Here is an 18,844-nt window from a genome sequence, read left to right as displayed (position 1 = left end):
GAAAGGAATTCAATAACCCATTTTATTGCTTTCGACTTTCCGTGTATATATTGTTGATGAGACCACACAAGTTCCTGTCTCTCTCTGTCTCTTCTTTTCTCTCTTATTCTCTCTCTCTACCTCTGTCTTTGTCTTTGGGAGTATCCTCATTGCCTTATATTGCCATCACCCAACACATCATTGTATAATGCCTGTCACCCTCTTCCATCCTCACCACTCCAACTAAAATCCTGCCATCTGATAAAATAGTTTGCCTGTAAATGTCAAGGGATTGGTCTTTCTTCAAATGCAAATATGCCAGACAAGAATGACATTAAAAGCTGAAAATTAATTTATCAGGTCCAGGCAGGCTGGCAGTTAACTGAACGTCATTCTAATACAAGGAAATGGGGAGCCAGCAGGAGGACACTCCACGCTGCTGCTAAGAATAGGAGCTGCAAGGGGGGAGCACAGCACTGCAGACGAGATAGAAAAAGGAGTGAAACCACAAACTTCACAGTTACTCATAGCAGGCTCTGTGTTCAGGGTTAACTTTAAATTGGGTTTGTCCTTGCTTTTAAATACAGTTCTTAAAATATTCATGCCAGACAGTAAAGACAAAAAGGATCAATTTGTTTCTAGGATTTAAGACTGAAGCCCTAAAAAGTAGGTCATTTTACCTGATAGCATTGCAAAGATCATATGATCATTATTCTGCAAGAAGTATTGCAATAGATAAGAATGTAGTCTTTGGAGTCCATATGCTTAAATTTAAAACCAAGTGCTGTGATTTACAGCTGTGTTAACACTGTCCGTGACTTAATGTCTCCTGACTTAAGTTTCTCCATCTGCAAAATGGGAGCAATAATAGAACCTCAACTGTGTAGATTTAAACAAAGAATAGTAATATAAAGTAGCAGATATAATGACTGAATACATGTTGATTCTTACTGTTTTTATTAAACAGTTGGGTTCAGAAAAAAAGAGTTGAGGTGAGTTGGCTGAAGTGGGTATAAAACACACTTGCCACATTGTGTAATGTGCCCCATTCTGATTCAGCCATGATCTCTTAAAACTAGCCATATCTAACATGTTTTCCTTTTTTTCTGAAATGGAATTTTGGATCTTAATTCAAAGAAACTTTTTTTAATGCAAATATGGTCCTATATGCAGCATCTTCTGCCCTCTTCTGGCTTCTGTAAGAAATTCAAGTGGATGTATAAACTAAATCATATATTGTTTTTATTTTATTTTTCAGTGGACATCACAGTTTACCGTTTTTCTAATTCCCAATGAGAAAGAAACAATTGTAATATTTTGTATGAGATGGGAATTGTCAGAAGTTTTTAAGATTTTCTTTAAACAATTTGCTTTTGAAATAGAGATTTCATTCTACTAGTTTATTCAATAGTCTTCTTCCAGTAACAACTCTTAATATTTTAAATACTAAGTAAATAATTAAACAGGGCCACATATTATTGCAGAGACTAAAATCTGAGGTTATTATAATTCCTGAGCTAATTAATTAGAAGTTTAAAATAGAACCGGCATGTGAGAACATTTGATTACAGAAAAAGCCTAGAGATAAAGGTCCTATTTATTTTAGAGATTGTATTGGATTTTTGCTCTTTTTCTCTAACCTTCAAAAAATAAATAAAAGCATAATTTTTCAAGATAAACAATTCAAAATAATGGCGCTCATTTTGGTTTTCAGATACAGTTGAATTGAGCATCAGTTTGCTAAGCTTTCAAAGAGACAATATTTGAAGTTATCTGCCAGAGATTCCATGGCATAGCAAAAGCATTCCTGTTAGAATGCAACAACAACAACAAAAAAACCCACAGAAGTTTGCGTTGGCAAATACAAAGGAGCCAGAAGACAGCTTGCTGGGACCTGGCAGGCTGCAGTCAGCAGAGATCAACTTGCTGGGGGAGGTCTTACACATCTCTGCGCTTCCTGCAGTTGGAAAGGATTAGCCAAATTGGAATGAAAGGGACTTTGGAGGGGAAGCCCAGTTGGCAGGAAGAAAAAAGAGGAACAAATAACTTAAGATGAAAGGAAAAAAGCATTTGTGATATCAGTTGCAGGTTTTCCATTTACATCTTAGATTGTGTAATGCAGATGTCTTCAGTGTTGAAGGGTCATAATTCAAATGATCATTTTCCGACTAATCCTGAGTTATTAATGTCTAGAATTTATATGGTTCCTAGATTACCCCACTCACAAAAGATTAAATGCTTTTACAGAAAGAAACCTGCTTAGTCATTAAAACACATTACTAGGCATAAGAATAAGGCTGTGCAAATAGCCTATGAGGTTTGGACAAGGGAGAATTATGGAGCATTTCCTTCACCAAATATTAAAATGTATTAAAAGGGCACAATGCTTAAAAGTTTTGTACTGATTCCAAAAGCTATAGGCAGAATAATAAAATCAGATATTAGGCTGATAAACAAATGCTAGCCTCTAATGAATATGATATAAATTCAGGAGGAAGAAGCACTATTTAATGACTGTGATTGGCATAATTATTTAAATATTTGGGAGGAAACATAGTAGTCTCCTTTTATCCTTGGGGATAGGTTCCAAGGTCCCCAGTGAAACCGCAGATAGCACTGAAATTGGTAGACACTGTTTTTTCTGATAACCTAGGTGGCTACTAAGTGACTAATGTAGCAGATACAATGTGGATACAGCTGAACAAAAGGATGATTCCCACCCCAGGAGGGATGGAGCAGGATGGTGCCAGGTTTCATCACACTACTCAGAAAGGTATGCAATTTAAAACTTATGAATTGTTTATTTCTGCCTGTTTTTTTCATTTATTGTTTTCACACCATGATTGGCCATGGGTAACTAAAACCATGAAAAGTGAAACTGCAGATAACCAGAGGCTGCTGAGTATATTTTAATTGACATCACTAACCAAAATACACTACGGGAAGATCACAGAGTTAAATGTATTTTAAAAATAAAATAATGAAAGGGCAGTTAAATGTATATTGCAATATGTGTATGATGGCATTTTTTTTTCTGCCTCTCAAGTGACATTTTTAATGAAAATTTATTGGCAAAGGAATATAGTTGTGTCATCCTAAGTTTTAGTTACAAAACACAGAAATCTTTCCAGGTATTGTATGTAGAAAGGAAATTCACTAAAGGTTATCTGCTCAGATAATCCCTAAAACAGTCAGATAATTATGATTTAACATCATGCAGAAAAATGCCCAATCCATACTTTATCATTAGTGCAGGCACAATCGCAACATTCCCAAGCACGAGACCAGAAGGTTCTTCCTTAGATTTTGAGAGTGGACCCTACCATGAAGCTAATACCACTGATATTCCTGAAAGCTCTATGCTTCTTGGCTAGGCTATACCAAGAAAAAGATTCCACATGAGGTTTCTTTCTTTATGTCATCCATTTCCAAATTGAACACTGAAGCAGCTGGCATATATTATTGATGAAGTCTGCATCACCTAGGCCATGTCCTAACTGTTAAAGAGGCTGGAAAATTGAGACTGCTTTTACCTTGAGATGGCAGGGCTCATGGTACAATAATTTTCTCAACTATAGTTAAGGCATATAAAAGACGATGTGTGACAATAAATATGACATGCATACTCTACATGCTCAGGTTATAAATAATGGATATAAAAGTTTCATACACCATATGAGCCCTAATTGTTCAAAGGAAATTATAAATGCATACAGATTTTCTTTTTTTTTAAACAAAAACTCTAAAGACTAAAACACAAAATGATAATATTAGATTTGGGAGAAGCTAGCAGGTAGAATTTATTTTTTTTTTACATTACATTTATAGCTCTGTGTTTTCTAAATTATCTGCCATATATATTAATATATAACTTTTTAAAAAAAGTAATAAATAGAGCTTGACACCCTCAAACTGATTCTATAGCCAGTGTAGTACAATATCTGACTTAGAATTGAAAGGTGTAATTGAAAATTTAAAATTCAAAATTTTCTCTTGTCATAAGAAAACTTGAGTATAAGCTACCACCTACAAGCCTACAAAGAGGCTCACACAGGTCATATATGTAGAAGATACTAAAACCAGGCCAGGAAACCATACTTACTGTGTTTTAAAACCAGTAAAGTTTCCTTCATCTCGAGTATTTGTATTTTATCGATGACAATTGGACAACATGACGCAGGCAGTTTTTGTTGTGTTTTGTTTTTGAGACAGGGTCTCATTCTATTGCCCAGGCTGGAGTGCACTAGCATGGTCATGGCTCACCCCAGCCTCATCCTCCAAGGCTCAGGTGATCCTCCTGCCTCAGCCTCCCATGTAGCTGAAACTATAGGCATGCAGCACCATGTCTGGCTAATTTTTTTTTTTTTTTTTTTTAAGAGATGAGGTTTTTGTCATGCTGCCCAGCCTGGTCTCAAACTCCTGGGTTCAAGCAATCCACCTGTCTCAGCCTTTCAAAGTGCCAGAATTACAGACATGAGCCACCACACCCAGCCTGGCAGTTTGTTTTATGCTTTATGGTTAATGGATGTATCATCCTTATTATACGATAATTTTCAAGTACTTTGTGATTTATCATAGGGAATTCCTATTATGTAGAGAAGGGAATGTGATACCATCCAGCCCAGTCACTTGTCTTGTCAGTAAGAACTACATTTGATTCTCTTTTTGATTTATTTTCCCAGTTGTGTGATGTGGACCCTCAACACTAATGCTCACATTGAAAGCCATTTGAGATATTTTTTACCAAAAGATTCATGAGCATGAGAACTGCTACCAATTGGTATGCTTACCTGTCTGGAATGATGGAGTTAATTTACTGTGAAAATTGCATAGGAAGACTGTCTCTTTTGAGTTCCAAAACATAGAAAAATTATCATATCTTGAAGAGAGAAATCCTTTCATAAAGGACAGTGTTTGGGGGAGTTCAGGAGAGATGAAAAAGATATAGTCACTCTCTTCCATGTAACAGAAAACTTCCTAGTGGCTGAGACCAGAGTAACTTCACTATTTCCAGGAAAAGCCCAATGTCTACATTGTAATATGGCCCTCAATAAAAGCTGGTTCAATGATGACATAGATGAAAGTTATCTTTAGATTTTACTTGTATAATAGTTGTGGCCTCTTATCTAATGCTTGCCATTTGCTAGGCATTATGTCATATCTTTACATATCTTACTTCTGTCTTGAATGCTCTGTGGAGAAAAACTTAGAGATTGATTAACAATTTACAGAGTGTCTTCCCGGTTCACAGTGATTTCCCATCTGGAAAGTTCATTCCTGCCTGATTTATAATTCCCCCAATATTTACTTTTGTGATAGTGAGCCTGTCCTCTGGTCACTGCAAGTTAGACCAGGATGGATATCTTACTAAACCTGGGACTTTGAGGGTTTCCTCTCCCATAAATTTGGAAATGAATGTAAGACTCAGAGACTGCTAGTAATTCTTTGGAAGTGATCGGAAGAGTCATATGCAAACCCCAGAACTCTGAATCTCTAGAAAAAGAAAGTGGATTATGAAGCAGGTGCAGAGAAAGAGGAAGAGATCACAGGTAGTCTTGACATTTATTCCTGGTATCTGTCTTTATATAAAACCTAGCTTCAAACCCCTGAATTCTAAGTCTATCCTCTCTTTGTTTAAACTAACTAGAATTGTTTTTTGAAAGTTAGAATCAAGAATCTTGGCTAACACAGGGTATGAGTAAAACATGTACATTCATATCTGCATCCATAGAAACATATTATCCCTTATCCACAAAACAAATTCAAAAGTGTATGTTAACATCCCCATGTTATAGGTGAGGAAACAACTCAGAGAGTGGGAGCAATTTTCTCAAAACAACCTACTTAGAGTTATTTAGAACTGTTATTTAATCTGAGGTTAGAATAGCTTCAAATCCGTGAGCTTCCTAGTCCGTATATCATGCCACATTAAGATTTACTCATTTTTTAGCATGAATTTATAGAGATCCTCCTAAGGACAGGCACTGCATTTCTATGGTTTTACCAGGGTTACTGAGTAGTTGTATACATTTACATGGTGCTGCATCCATAGGTGTCTACAAGTACTGCCAAAGATGGGAGACTCAGTTAAATGTTAAGAAAAAAATCTCTTGAGACTCATTATGTATAAACTATGCTGTCAGTAAACATAACATTAAGAAGAAACCAGCTTTCAAAAGACACAGGAGGTGTCAGAGGCTTTTCATATTGCAAATCTGGGATTAATATTAGTAAAATCTGCCAATAATAAGCACTTACCAAGCTACATGTGTAGTTTAACGGAAGCAGATGCCACCTGGTATGATTTGTCTCTGATCTTCAGATGGAATGTGGCTGGAGTTGTCTGTGGACTGCTATAAGCACCTCATTTTAGAGGTTTTCTTTTTGTTTTGTTTTGTTTTCATTTCATATGCTATACAATGAGATATGTTTGAGACCATACCCAGGCACACTTTTATACAGCATCTTGAAGAATATATGATGGGTCGATGGCCCAATAATGTCTCAAATTTCTTTTTAAACCCGGAAAGGTCATGTAATTTGTTCAAAGTCACTGAGCTACTTAGTTGCAGAGATGAGGTTTGCTAGCTAGAATATACAGCCAACAAAAATCATTTAAGATAATTTAGTTTATGTATTTTTTATTTCTTCAAATAACAACACACGTTAATTAGACTGATATCAGAACTCACTTTGCATTCTATCCCTACAATCTGTCTTTCCTTGAATTTATGAAATGTAGAATGGGAAAATTATAGGTTTTATAGTTAGCATCTATAGTGCGTGGGGTACAGCATAAAAGCTACTATATTAATTACGTACATTTTGGCTTATTATATAATTCTGCCCTTTTGCTTTAGAATTTGAAATTGCCTTAAATGTGGAGAATTAAAAAAATACATAATCACTTTCATTTTTAGATGTAATTATATTCTCAAAAACTAAATGAGTGGTATGTCATAGCACCTTCATTTATATAAGATTTATGCTTGCTATCTTTTGTAACATACAAAATGGGCAAATAAAATGTAAATAATATGGCAGATTACTCTGAAGATGAAAATTATTCAGGCTTGTGAATGCTCAGGAGAGTGCATGGGCATTATTTCAAATTATCTCAAAGATAATAACAGCTAACACTTATAGAATATTTATCCAGGCACTGTTGTGAGTGCTTCATATTCATCACCTCAGCCTTCACAATCACCTGTGAGGTATTTGTATCCTGTTTTACAGATGAGGAAAATTAGGCACAGAGATTATCACTCCATCTGGTCTCAGAATTTCTTAACCACTTTCTAAATTTTCTATTTTGTGAGACAGGGTCTCACTCGGCGGCTCAGGCTGGAGTGCAGTAGCGCAATCTCAGCTCACTGCAACCTCCACCTCCTGGGCTCAAGTGATTCACCCACCTCAGCCTCCTGAGTAGGTGGGACTACAGGTGCACACCACCACACCCAGCTAATTTTTGTATTTTTAGTAGACACGTCTTTGACCATGTTGGCCAGGCAGACCTCAAACTCCTGACCTCAAGTAATCCACCTGCCTTGGCCTCCCAAAGTGCTGGAATTATAAGCATGAGCCACTGCACCAAAGATAATTCTGTCCCTTTTTTTTTTTTTTTAATGCAGCCCATGTGTATGTTGCTTGTACATGTTTGTGGACAACTTTCTAACACTTAAATGGTTATGCAGTTTTACCTGACCTGGCTACACCTGTGCTTGGCTTGGATCCTTTTCTTCTTTTGCCTTTTTAAGGCTTGTAAGAAATACGCTTTCTTTTTAGTCTTTTTTCCTAATAAGCTTTCATTGTACCATCATCCATGTTCTGCTGACAGATTTCACTTTTTTTTTTTTTTTTTTTGTGAGATGGAGTCTCGCTCTGTCGCCCAGGCTGGAGTGCAGTGGCGAGATCTCGGCTAACTGCAAGCTCCGCCTCCCAGGTTCAAGCCATTCTTCTGCCTCAGCCTCCTGAGTAGCTGGGACTACAGGCGCCCGCCACCACACCCGGATGATTTTTTTCTGTATTTTTAGTAGAGACGGGGTTTCACCGTGTTAGCCAGGATGGTCTCGATCCCCTGACCTCATGATCCGCCTGCCTCGGAGTCCCAAAGTGCTGGCATTACAGGTGTAAGCCACCGCGCTCGGCCCCAGATTTCACTTTTATTTTTATTTTAGATTTGGGGGGTACACGTTCATGTTTCTTACATGGGTATATTGCATAATGGTGGGGATTGGGCTTCTAACATGTATCCATCACTCAAATATTGAACCGTGTATCCAATAGGTAATTTTTCAAACCTTGGCCCTTTCCAAACCTCTCCCCTTTTGGAGTCGCCAGAGCCTATTATCTCCATCTTTATGTACGTATGTACCCATTATTTAGCTCCCATTTATAAGTGAGAACATGCCATCTTTGATTTTCTGCTTCTGAGTTAGTTCATTTAGGATAATGGCCTTCAGCCTCATTCATATTATTGCAACTGACATGTTTCTTTCCTTTTATGGCTAAATAGTATTCCACGGTGTATATATACCAATGAACTATTGGTGGACTTTTAGATTGGTTCCATAACTTTGCTGAATAGTGCTGCAATAAAAATATGAGCACATATGTCTTTTTTAATATAATGATTTATTTTTCTTTGCTGTAGATACCGAGCAGTAGGATTGGTGGGTCGAATGGTAGTTTTATTTTTAGCTCTTTGAGAAATCTCCATACTGTTTTACATAGAGGTTGTACTTATCTACATTCCCATCAATAATGTATAAGTGTTCTTTTTGAATACGCACTGACATCTTTTTTTTTGACTTTTTAATAATAGCCGTTCTGACTAGTGAAAGATGACATCCCCATGTAGTGTTAATTTGCTGTTATCTGATGATTAGTGATGCTGAGCATTTTTTCATGTTTGTTGGCTGCTTTTTTTTCCTCCTTTTAAGAAATATTTGTTCATGCCTTTTCCCCAGTTTGTCATGGGCTTCTTCATTTTTATTTTCTTGTTGAGTTCCTTGTAGATTATGGATATTATTCTTTGTTGGTGGCATAATTTGCAAATACTTTTTTCCATTCTATGGGTTGCCTGATTATTCTGTTGATTATTTCTTTTGCCATGATAGGATTTTTAGTTTAATTAAATTCCATTTTTCTATTTTTGTTATTGTTGCATTTGCTTCTGGGGTCTTTGCCATAAATTCTTTACCTAAGCTATGTCAGAGGAGTTTTTCCTAGCTTTTCTTCTAGGGTTTTTATAGTGTCATGTTTTAAGTATAGATCTTTAATTCATCGAGTTAATTTTTTTATATGGTGAGAAGTAGGGGTCCAGCTTTATTCTTCTGCATATGATTAGCCAGTTTTCCTAGCACCAGTTATTGAATAGGGTGACCTTCCCCCCATTGTTTATTTTTGTCAACTTTATCAAAGATCAGTTGGTTGTGGGTATGTGGCTTTATTTCTGGGTTCTCTATACTGTTCCCCATTGATCTATGTGTCTACTTTTGTACTACTACCATGCTGTTTTAATTTCCACAGCCTTACAATATAATTTGAAGTCAGGAAACATGATGTTTCAGGATTTGTTTTTTTACTTAGGAGTGCTTTGGCTGAATGGACATTTTTGGTTTTGGTTTGGGTCCACAAAATGAGCTTTAGGATTTTTTTTTAATTCTTTGAAAAATGACATTGGTAATTTGACAGAAATTGCATTGAATCTGTAGATTTCTTTGGGCAATATGGTCATTTTAGAATGGCATGAACCTGGAAGGCGGAGTTTGCAGTGAGCCAAGATCGCACCACTGCACTCCAGCCTGGGCGATAGAGCGAGACCTCATCTCGAAAAAAAAAAAAAAGAAAGAAAAAAATGGTCATTTTAATGATATTGATTCTTCCAATCCATGAGCATGAGATGTTTTTCTATTTGTTTATGCCCTGACCTTTCAAAAAATTATTCTGCTGTTCTAACTTAGAGCCTCATTGACTTCTTGACCTATCCAAAGATCAATTTTTACTTATTAAATTATTCATCTTTTTGTAATATTTGATACTCTTAACCACTTCTCCTTCTTGAAACTTTTTATCCCTAAACTTTTATGATGCCATTTTCCATAGCCCCTTTCTGATCATTCCAGCATCATCATGACTATGTTCCCTCTTTTCTTTGTTCATTAAATGATTTAAGTCAGTGGCCTAGATCCTAAAACTAGATCTAGCACCCAGAAATGAATCTGGCATATTGAATGATCTCAATAAATATTATCTGAATAGTTTGTCCTTATGAAATCTAGCCAATGCCTATTACTTAGACTATACCTCATGAACTAGCAAATATGAAATCCAGAACTCAGGCTTAGGAGGTTTAGGTCCAGATCTAATGCCATGCTTTTCCCTTCCTACACTTTTTTTCATCTCATTTTTTTTAATCTGATGATTCATTCTTTCCTGATAACACATACACACATACTCACATTGAGGCTAATTGGGTTTCGGGCATGAGCTAAGTGCTGTGTCTGTGGTGGTGAACTTCTTGTCTTTGTGACAGTTATGTAGGTAAGGACACCAGCTCACTATACTGTATTCTCTGTCCTCTCTTCTTCACCCTTCATTTCATTTTTCAAACTCATGCCAGACTATTCTTTGGAAAATGTCTAACACTCATTTAAAATTCTTCAGTGGCTCAACATTACACATACAATGGAGTTTCATCCTTCTTGACATTTCATAGAAGGCCCTTTATAATTTGATCTCTGACTATATACCCTCAATCCTCCACATGCCCACTTGTATATTGTATTCCAAATGGAGTAGGTTCTTTAGTATTCCTGAATAATGCAATGGCTTTGCTCATCTAAGTGTTTTCTATACATATCATCTTGTTGGAATTTGGTAGGAATTTTTTGGGGGGAGCAATAGATAACACTTCCCGTGCCTGCTTGGGTTCTGAGTTCACTTAGAATTATACATGAAGCCAGATAGGTATAATGCAAAATGCGACCTTCACCCTGATAATGTGTATATTAGAGTATGAAGTTTATATGGTTAGGCAAGTGGGTGTCCCTAAATCTCAGAATAGACAGCCTTATGCTGTCTTTCAGTCAAAAACAACACTGAAAAATTGCAGCTTCACCATGGGAGAAGAAGGACTTTCGTGATAAGCTTTCTGTATGGCCCAGAGAAAGATTATTGACTCTCTGAGAGAAGGAGAGCTATTCACAGTAGCCAAGATATGGAAACAACCCAAGTGTCTGTTGACAGGTGAGTGAATAAAGGAAATGAGGGGTGTGTGTGTGTTAGATATATATATATGATATATATATATGATATATATATATCATATATATGATATATATATATCATATATATGATATATATGATATATATATGAATATTACTATCATTCATAATATTATATATTATATATCATTCATATATAATATATATATGAATATTATTAAATCTTTAAAAAAGAAGGAAATCCTGCCAGTTGTGACAATGTGGAAGAAACTGAAGGGCATCATGTTAAGTAAAATAAACTAGACACAGAAAGACAAATATAGCATGATCTCATTTATATAAAATAGTTGAAGTCATAGTAATAGTTAGTGGAATAGTGTTTACCAAGGGTTGTGGGTGGGGAACTAGGGAAGATGTTAGTCAAAGGATTCAAAGTTGCAGTTACAAGATAAATAAGTTCTGGAGACCTAATGTTCAGAATGGAAACTATAGTTAGTAATAATATATTGTGCATTTTCCATTTGCTAAAACAGTAGATCTCAAGTGTTCTCACACACACAAAACAATAGCAACTAAGTGAGATGATGGATGTGTTAGTTGGCTTGATTGTGTAATCATTTCACCACATATACTTATATCAAAACATCCCATTGTTGTATGACTTTAATAAATTCTATTTGTATTTTCCGGCTATACCTTAATAAAGCTGGAAAGTAGGCTTAAAAGTATTTTCACCCTTTGACCCGCCAATTCTTCTAGAATACCTAGAAGAATTCTCCTAGATATACTAGGGAAATTGGGTTTGATGCACAAAGATTAATGCACAAGGTTGACATCCTAATATTATCTCTAGTTGTAAGAAAATTGTTTACCATTAATGTCTCACAATTCAAAGTTAATTAAATAAATTATGAAACAGTCATTAAAGAAAAAGAAGAGAGAGAGAGAATACACAGCCCTGTTCTCCTTTCAAAATCACCAGTCAGATTAAGTTAGTGAGAGAACAGAGAACGCCCAGAAGTACTATGAAAGTAAAATTCCCTCAAACTGTAAGTATTTTTGGATGAGTAATGAATATATGGATCAAATATACAAATATAACCTGATTTTATCAGGAACTTTTCTATTTTGCATTAAAACAAAACAGAACAAAAAACCTTTACTTTGCCTTAAATGAAGTCGATTAGCTCACAAAACCAAAATGTATGGGGACAGAATTTTCTTTAGGTGTGGTTGAATGAGTCCAGGTACCCAAGCAATGTCATAAGATTTGGTCTGTCTTCATCTCTGCTTCCCTCTATCCCAATTCCAATTCCAGGCAGGCTCTTTTGTTACTAAGACAGTAAGATTACTATCAGCAACTGGCAACTATCCCATAAATGCTGCTCACCAGGTAGAAAGAGGGCTTCATGTTCCCCAAAATTCTAGCAAAAGGCCTGAGGTTATCATTGGATGACTTAGGCTTTGAAGTAAAAGAATATACTTTTTTTTGCTAAGCCTGATTCTGTGTCCCCACTAGAACTATGGTTAAAGTTAGTAGCTGAAGGACTGAGATGAGGGAGGGGTGGCTCACCAAAGGGATAGCAGAGTGTTGTTTCAGAAGAAAGAGGATCTATTTGGAACATGCAGAAACAATGGATGTCCACATATTCACTGTTCCTTAGGTGAAAGGAATGATAAAGCAAGGTAGAACAGATTTTGTGTATCAGTGAAGCCGAGTCTAGGTAAAAGTGTCTTTTCTAGATTATGCTTATTGTTAAATTTTACTTCTCCATGATTCTGTTGCAGCTAGCCAAGAGATCGTACTCATTTTTTGTTAGCCTAGAAATCACTTTCTTGAAATAGGTGAACTGGGAAATCTTTTTGTTATACAGAAAATATTGTTGCTGTGACAATTGTGGTAGTAGAGGCCTGTTGGAAGTGAGTTGGGAAATAGAAGAAACCCCAGTCTCCTCTGTCAGATGAAATGGTACAAGCAGCTGTAAATTTTTCTGTTCGACTTTCCCCTAGAATCACACAGAAATATACAGACACACATATACAGAAACCCACATATACAAACACACAAAAACAGGCCAAATCATCATCTAACCCAAAAATGATGAAACAAAAATATATACATGCCAACTTTCATCTAATAGAAATAAAAATACCTCCAGAATTTCAACTTAATGGTATGTGTCAGATTGTATTGACTCACTTGTGAAAGAAAAATTGCAGTATTACTCATTCTTATTTCAAAGAACATATTTAGAGGTCTCAGTGATTCGTGATGATCAGCAAAAACAAACCCTTTGTGCTCTGTCGTACACTGGCAGGGATGTCTGTGTTAGCTTTGCCAAGGCCCCAGTTGTGCTCATTCCAATATGGACTAATTTTATTTTCCTTTCCCCCTCTCTCTTTCTCTGTCTCTCTCTCTCTCTCTGTTTTTAATGTTTGAAAAATACAATAGAATTGTCTCTTCACCACGTGGATATCTGCATGTGTTAAAATTTCTTCTATTTTAAGCTCACTCTCTTTTTAATTTAACAGGACATGTCAGAACATGCAGTCTCTTTTCTTTTCACCCTCCTAGAAAATAGGAAATATACAAACCGATCTTGGTGGAGGCAAAAAGCCAACTTGTAGGGGAAACAAACAAATAATAATTAAGCACACAAACAAATATAAATAAAGAAACAACATTTGAAGGTCTGGGTGATTTGATTTGAGTTGAAATCCCACAGCATTTGATATAAAGAACTGCAGTACGAAAGAATAACAGCAAGGACATAGGGAGAAATACGGACAGTCTTCTTGCCTGGATCTTAATAGGCAAGGCATTAACTTTGCCTTACCTCAGTTTCCCAGAAGACATTAAAACGAAACTTCTCAATTATAAATATCCATACATAGGCTTACTATATGAAAAAAATAAGAAAAATATCTCACACTTATTGAGAGTTCATTTTTATGTGAGATAATATGTTTAGAATATATACAACATATATAATATGTATATATATAACATATATAATATATATAATATATATCTAAATATATACATATCCCAAAATAAAAAAAAATTACCCTTTATGAGGCTGACTTGGATAATTATCTCCTTTTTACAGGTGAGAAGACACGTTGATTTAAGGCACTATCATAAATGCTGTGGTATACCCTTCAGATCCTTATTCAGGATAAGGTATTGCTGTGGTTTGAATGTTTGTCCCCTTTAAAACTCATGCTGAATTTTGTTGTTGTTGTTGTTTTTATTTGTTTGCTTTTGAGACAGGTCTCACTCTGTTGCCCAGGTTGGAGTGCAGTGGTGCGATCTTGGCTCATTGTAACCTCCACCTCCCGGGCTCAAGTGATCCTTCCACCTCAGCCTCTCGAGTAGCTGGGACCACAGGCACGCACAACTACGCTCAGCTAATTTTTGTATTTTTTTGTAGAGACAGGGTTTTTCCATGTCGCCCAGGTTGGTCTCAAACTCCTGGACTCAAGCGATCCACCCACCTTGGCCTCCCTAAGTGCTGGGATTACAGGCATGAGCCCCTGTGCCTGGCTTATATTGAAATTTAAACCCCAATGTGGCAGTACTGACCGAGCATGGGGCCACTAAGATGTGATTAGATCATGAAGGCTCTACTTTCATGGATAGATTATTCCATTCATTGATTAATACATTAATGAATTAATGGGCTAATGGGTTATCATTGGAGTGGAGTTGGTGGTTTTATTAAAATAGGAGGAGACCTGAGCTAGCATACTCAGCCTCCTCTCTATGTGATTACCTGTGCCATCTTGGGACTCTTCAAAGTTTCCACCAGCAAGAAGGCTCTTAACAGATGCAGCCTTTTGACCTTTGGCTTTTCAGCATCCGTAACTATAAGAAACAAATTACTTTTTTTTAAATAAATTACCCAATTTCAGGTATCCTGCTATAAGAAACAGAAAACTGACTAATACACAGATGCCTATTTCCCTAGATGTCTGAAATGTTGGCTTCAAAAGTGCACAGCTGAATTCCTCTTGGGGAATTCCTCTGCCAAAGAAAACCCCCTTGTTCTAGGTTACACTTAGTCCCTTTGGACAATCTCCTTCCACTCACTAGTTTGGAAGAGAGTACAAAAGCCCACTCCTTGCCTCAATCTGGGACATCTCTGAAAGGCCATCTTAGCTCCAGAATTCCCTGAGGGATTGCTGGGGCTTTGGTAGCAATCACATTGCTGTTCAGCTTCTCCCTCTGGCCAATCCTATTACTATCACTCCTCATGGGTGTTGATTAAGAGCACTCCTCAGTGAACCTTCTTCATACAAATTTTGTCTCATAGTCTATTTCTGGCAACCACAGCCTAAGGCAGGCATCTAGAATAGGTGCCAATTAAATGTCTGATATTACAGTTATTTATCAGAAGTACCTATATTAACAATAGATTGTTCTAAAAAGTCAGTTAAGTAATAGAGAAAGTGTAAAGGCTTTGCATTTTATCCAAATACTTACTACATTTATTGTTACACATAGATATCATTACGTAATGCTTCATCAATTAATCTCTGGCCATATTACCTGAGAGATATAACCATGTAGCATAAAGTCAGCGCTGCCCCAAATGCTGTTGGCTTACAATAAGTAGGACCAGTAATTTTATTGGTCTTTTTTCTTGTGTTATGCAATGCATAATAAGGAAATGTGTGGTCGTCAGTGCCTGAATGCCACTTTCAGTAATAGAAACGCCTTCTGGGGAAATAAGACTGGTGCCAGGACAAGAATATGGAAGCAAGCTTGAAATTATTTCACTTCTATTTCAGAATGGTTTTTAAAAAAAGAAAAAAAAAGGCAGGAGCAAGACCATTTTGAGGGCTGCCACCACACTGAGGCATTTCAATGAAAATACTTCTATAGCTTTCTGTAACCTACTAAACAGAAATCCAGGGATCTCAGGTGGGCCTGTCAGCCGTGCCAACTTACCTTTGCACATGATCATTCACAAGGTCCCTTCGTGAGCACTTAGTATTCTTTTTTCCAAAGTGGACTTAGTTATTCCCTAAACAGAAATAAAAACAAATATGTTAAAAAAAATGGAATATAAACTTTCTGGCTAAGATAGTGCAAGCCCCTACAGATATTCTCTCCTGGTGATTACAGCCCATAATCCTAGACAAAATTTTTTCAAGAGCAACTTATTAAACATTCAACAAAAACAGGCAGACTAGGGAGGGGAGTCAAAAACTGAAGACATGCCCTGAAAAGGCATGAGGCCCCATTGCTTTATTTATTTATTCATTTTCCCTTGAGAGGCCACAGTTGAATTTTGGCAATAGTGGAAAGAGCATTAAAACGGAAAGAATCCCTTGTTTTTGGCTACAGAGACCCCCTCCCCCCAAGAAATCCCTAAAACCTGAAGGATGAGGATAAATATCAGAGAGAAGACATCTGTATAATGGGAACCCATAAGGCTGTATATGGACCTGCAAAAGTCCTGGCCTTAACACTAAGCTTTTTGTGTAAGACAGACACAGACTAGCATAGAAACGATTTTGAAAACTAATCTGACATTAGAAATATCATGTAGAGAAGGAATATAGAAGTTAAAATTTGAACCAAACTGTGTTGATTGCCAGCCAAAACAACAACAGAAATCTACATTCTCCAGAGGATTTTAACAGGACCTAGTATCCATGCAGCATAACATATTTTCAATTAACAGTGATTCAATATACAAAGAACCAGAAAAAATTTTATAGGTTATCTAGAGAAAAGACTAACAGATGACACCTGTGAGATGACCCAGATGTTGAAATTATTAGACAAAAACTTATGGCAGCTACTATAGCTATACTCTATAATATAAAGATAAACACAATTGAAATAAATGGAAAGATAACCATTTTCAGTAGAGAAATAGAAATTATTAGACCAAAACTTTAACCAGCTACTATAGCTATACTCTGTAATATAAAGATAAACACAATTGAAATAAATGGAAAGATAACAGTTTTCAGCAAAGAAATAGAAACTATAAAAAAATAACCAGGTAGGGCCGGGAGCAGTGGCTCATGCCTGTAATCCCAGCAGTTTGGGAGGTCCAGGCAGGTGGACCACCTGAGGTCAGGAGTTAACGACCAGCCAGACCAACATGGTGAAACCCCGTCTCTACTAAAAATACAAAAAATTAGCTGGATGTGGTGGCATGTACCTTTAATCCCAGCTACTTAAGAGGTTGAGGCAGAAGAATCCCTTGAACCTGGGAGGTAGAGGTTGCAGTGAGCCGAGATCGTGTCACTGCACTCCAGCCTGGCAACAGAGTGAGACTCCGTCTCAAAAAAAAAAAAAAAAAAATTAGAACGAAAAAATGAAATATCTGAAATAAATTTTTCACTAAAAGAGCTCAATAGCAGAATGAAGATGACAGAGGAAAACGTCAGTGGACTTAAAGATAGACTAAAATAAATGTTTAAATCTGAAAAATTATACACTTACAGATTCAACAACCCTGAACTCCCCATCCCCAAATAAATTAAAAACTAAAAGACCATCCAGACACATATCAATGTAACTGATGAAAACCAAAGATAAAGAAAACATCTTGAAAGCAAATGGAGAAAACTAACATATTACATAGGGGGAACAAAATGTAAATCACTTTCTATTTCTTGTCAGAAACCATGTAGGCCATAAGACAGTGAAACAACAAATTTAAAATGCTAAGAGAAAAAAGCTATCAACAAAAACTTCTATATACATTGAAAATGTCCTTCATGAAAGAAGATGAAATAGAAACATTCACAGATGAAAGGAAACAGAGAATTTGTCACCAGCAAATCTGCTCTAAAAGAAATGCTGAAGGAAGTTTTCCAGGCTGATGGGAAATTACACTAAACAGAAACTTCAAAGTTTGGAAATGAAGAAAGAGCATGAAAAATAGTGACTATCTGGGTTAATATAAAAGACAAATTTCTCCCCTGAATTCTATAAAATACATATGACTATTGAAAGCAAAAATTATTGCAGCGTCCAGTGAAGTCAAGTTTGTATGTGTATGTATGGCAACTACAAGATAAAGGAGGAACCTAAATACTTGTAGTAAGATTTCTAAATTTTATTGGTGTAGTAAAATGTTACCTCTACATACATACAGTAAAAGGGGGAGCTGTATACATTGTAGTCTCTGGTGCAACCACTAAGAAAAAAAAGTAATACCATAAAATATAAGCAAAAAGACAATAGATGAGTAAATACTAAGTGCAGAAAAATTATATTAAAAATATATAAGAAATGATAATTCTCAGAAAATTAGCAAAAGAAAATAACATCTTTAATGTAATAAAGGTTATCTATAAAACTATACACATAGTGAGAACTGAATTCATTCTACAAAGATCAGGAACAGGGCAAGGGTGGCAGCTCCTGTCACTCCTATTCAACATAATACTGGAATACTAGTGATTGCAATAAAACAAGGAAAATAAATCAAAGGCATACGGGTGAAAAAATGAAGGAATAAAAATACTTCTTTTGTAGATGATATGATTATCTGTGTAGAAAATCTCAAAGACCCTAAAAAACTTATCTTAGAACTAGTAAGTAAGCTTTTGTGATTGTGGAACAAAATTATACCAAAATCAATTGTCTTCCTATATACTAGCATTA

The 18,844-nt window shown here is 36.1% G+C and overlaps 1 annotated feature.

The window, feature by feature from the left end:
• Positions 1,618-2,181: an enhancer, noted in NCBI's record as "OCT4-NANOG hESC enhancer chr11:41519459-41520022 (GRCh37/hg19 assembly coordinates)". NCBI's record gives its function as "activates a minimal SCP1, AML or CMV promoter by ChIP-STARR-seq in naive H9 embryonic stem cells {active_cell/tissue: H9 hESC(naive)}" and the evidence as "EXISTENCE:reporter gene assay evidence [ECO:0000049][PMID:30033119]".

Source organism: Homo sapiens, chromosome 11 (genome assembly GCF_000001405.40).
Source record: "Homo sapiens chromosome 11, GRCh38.p14 Primary Assembly".
Classification (NCBI taxonomy): domain Eukaryota; kingdom Metazoa; phylum Chordata; class Mammalia; order Primates; family Hominidae; genus Homo; species Homo sapiens.
The sequence above is the reverse complement of the archived record's forward strand: the minus strand, read 5'-3'. Positions and strand labels throughout refer to the sequence as shown.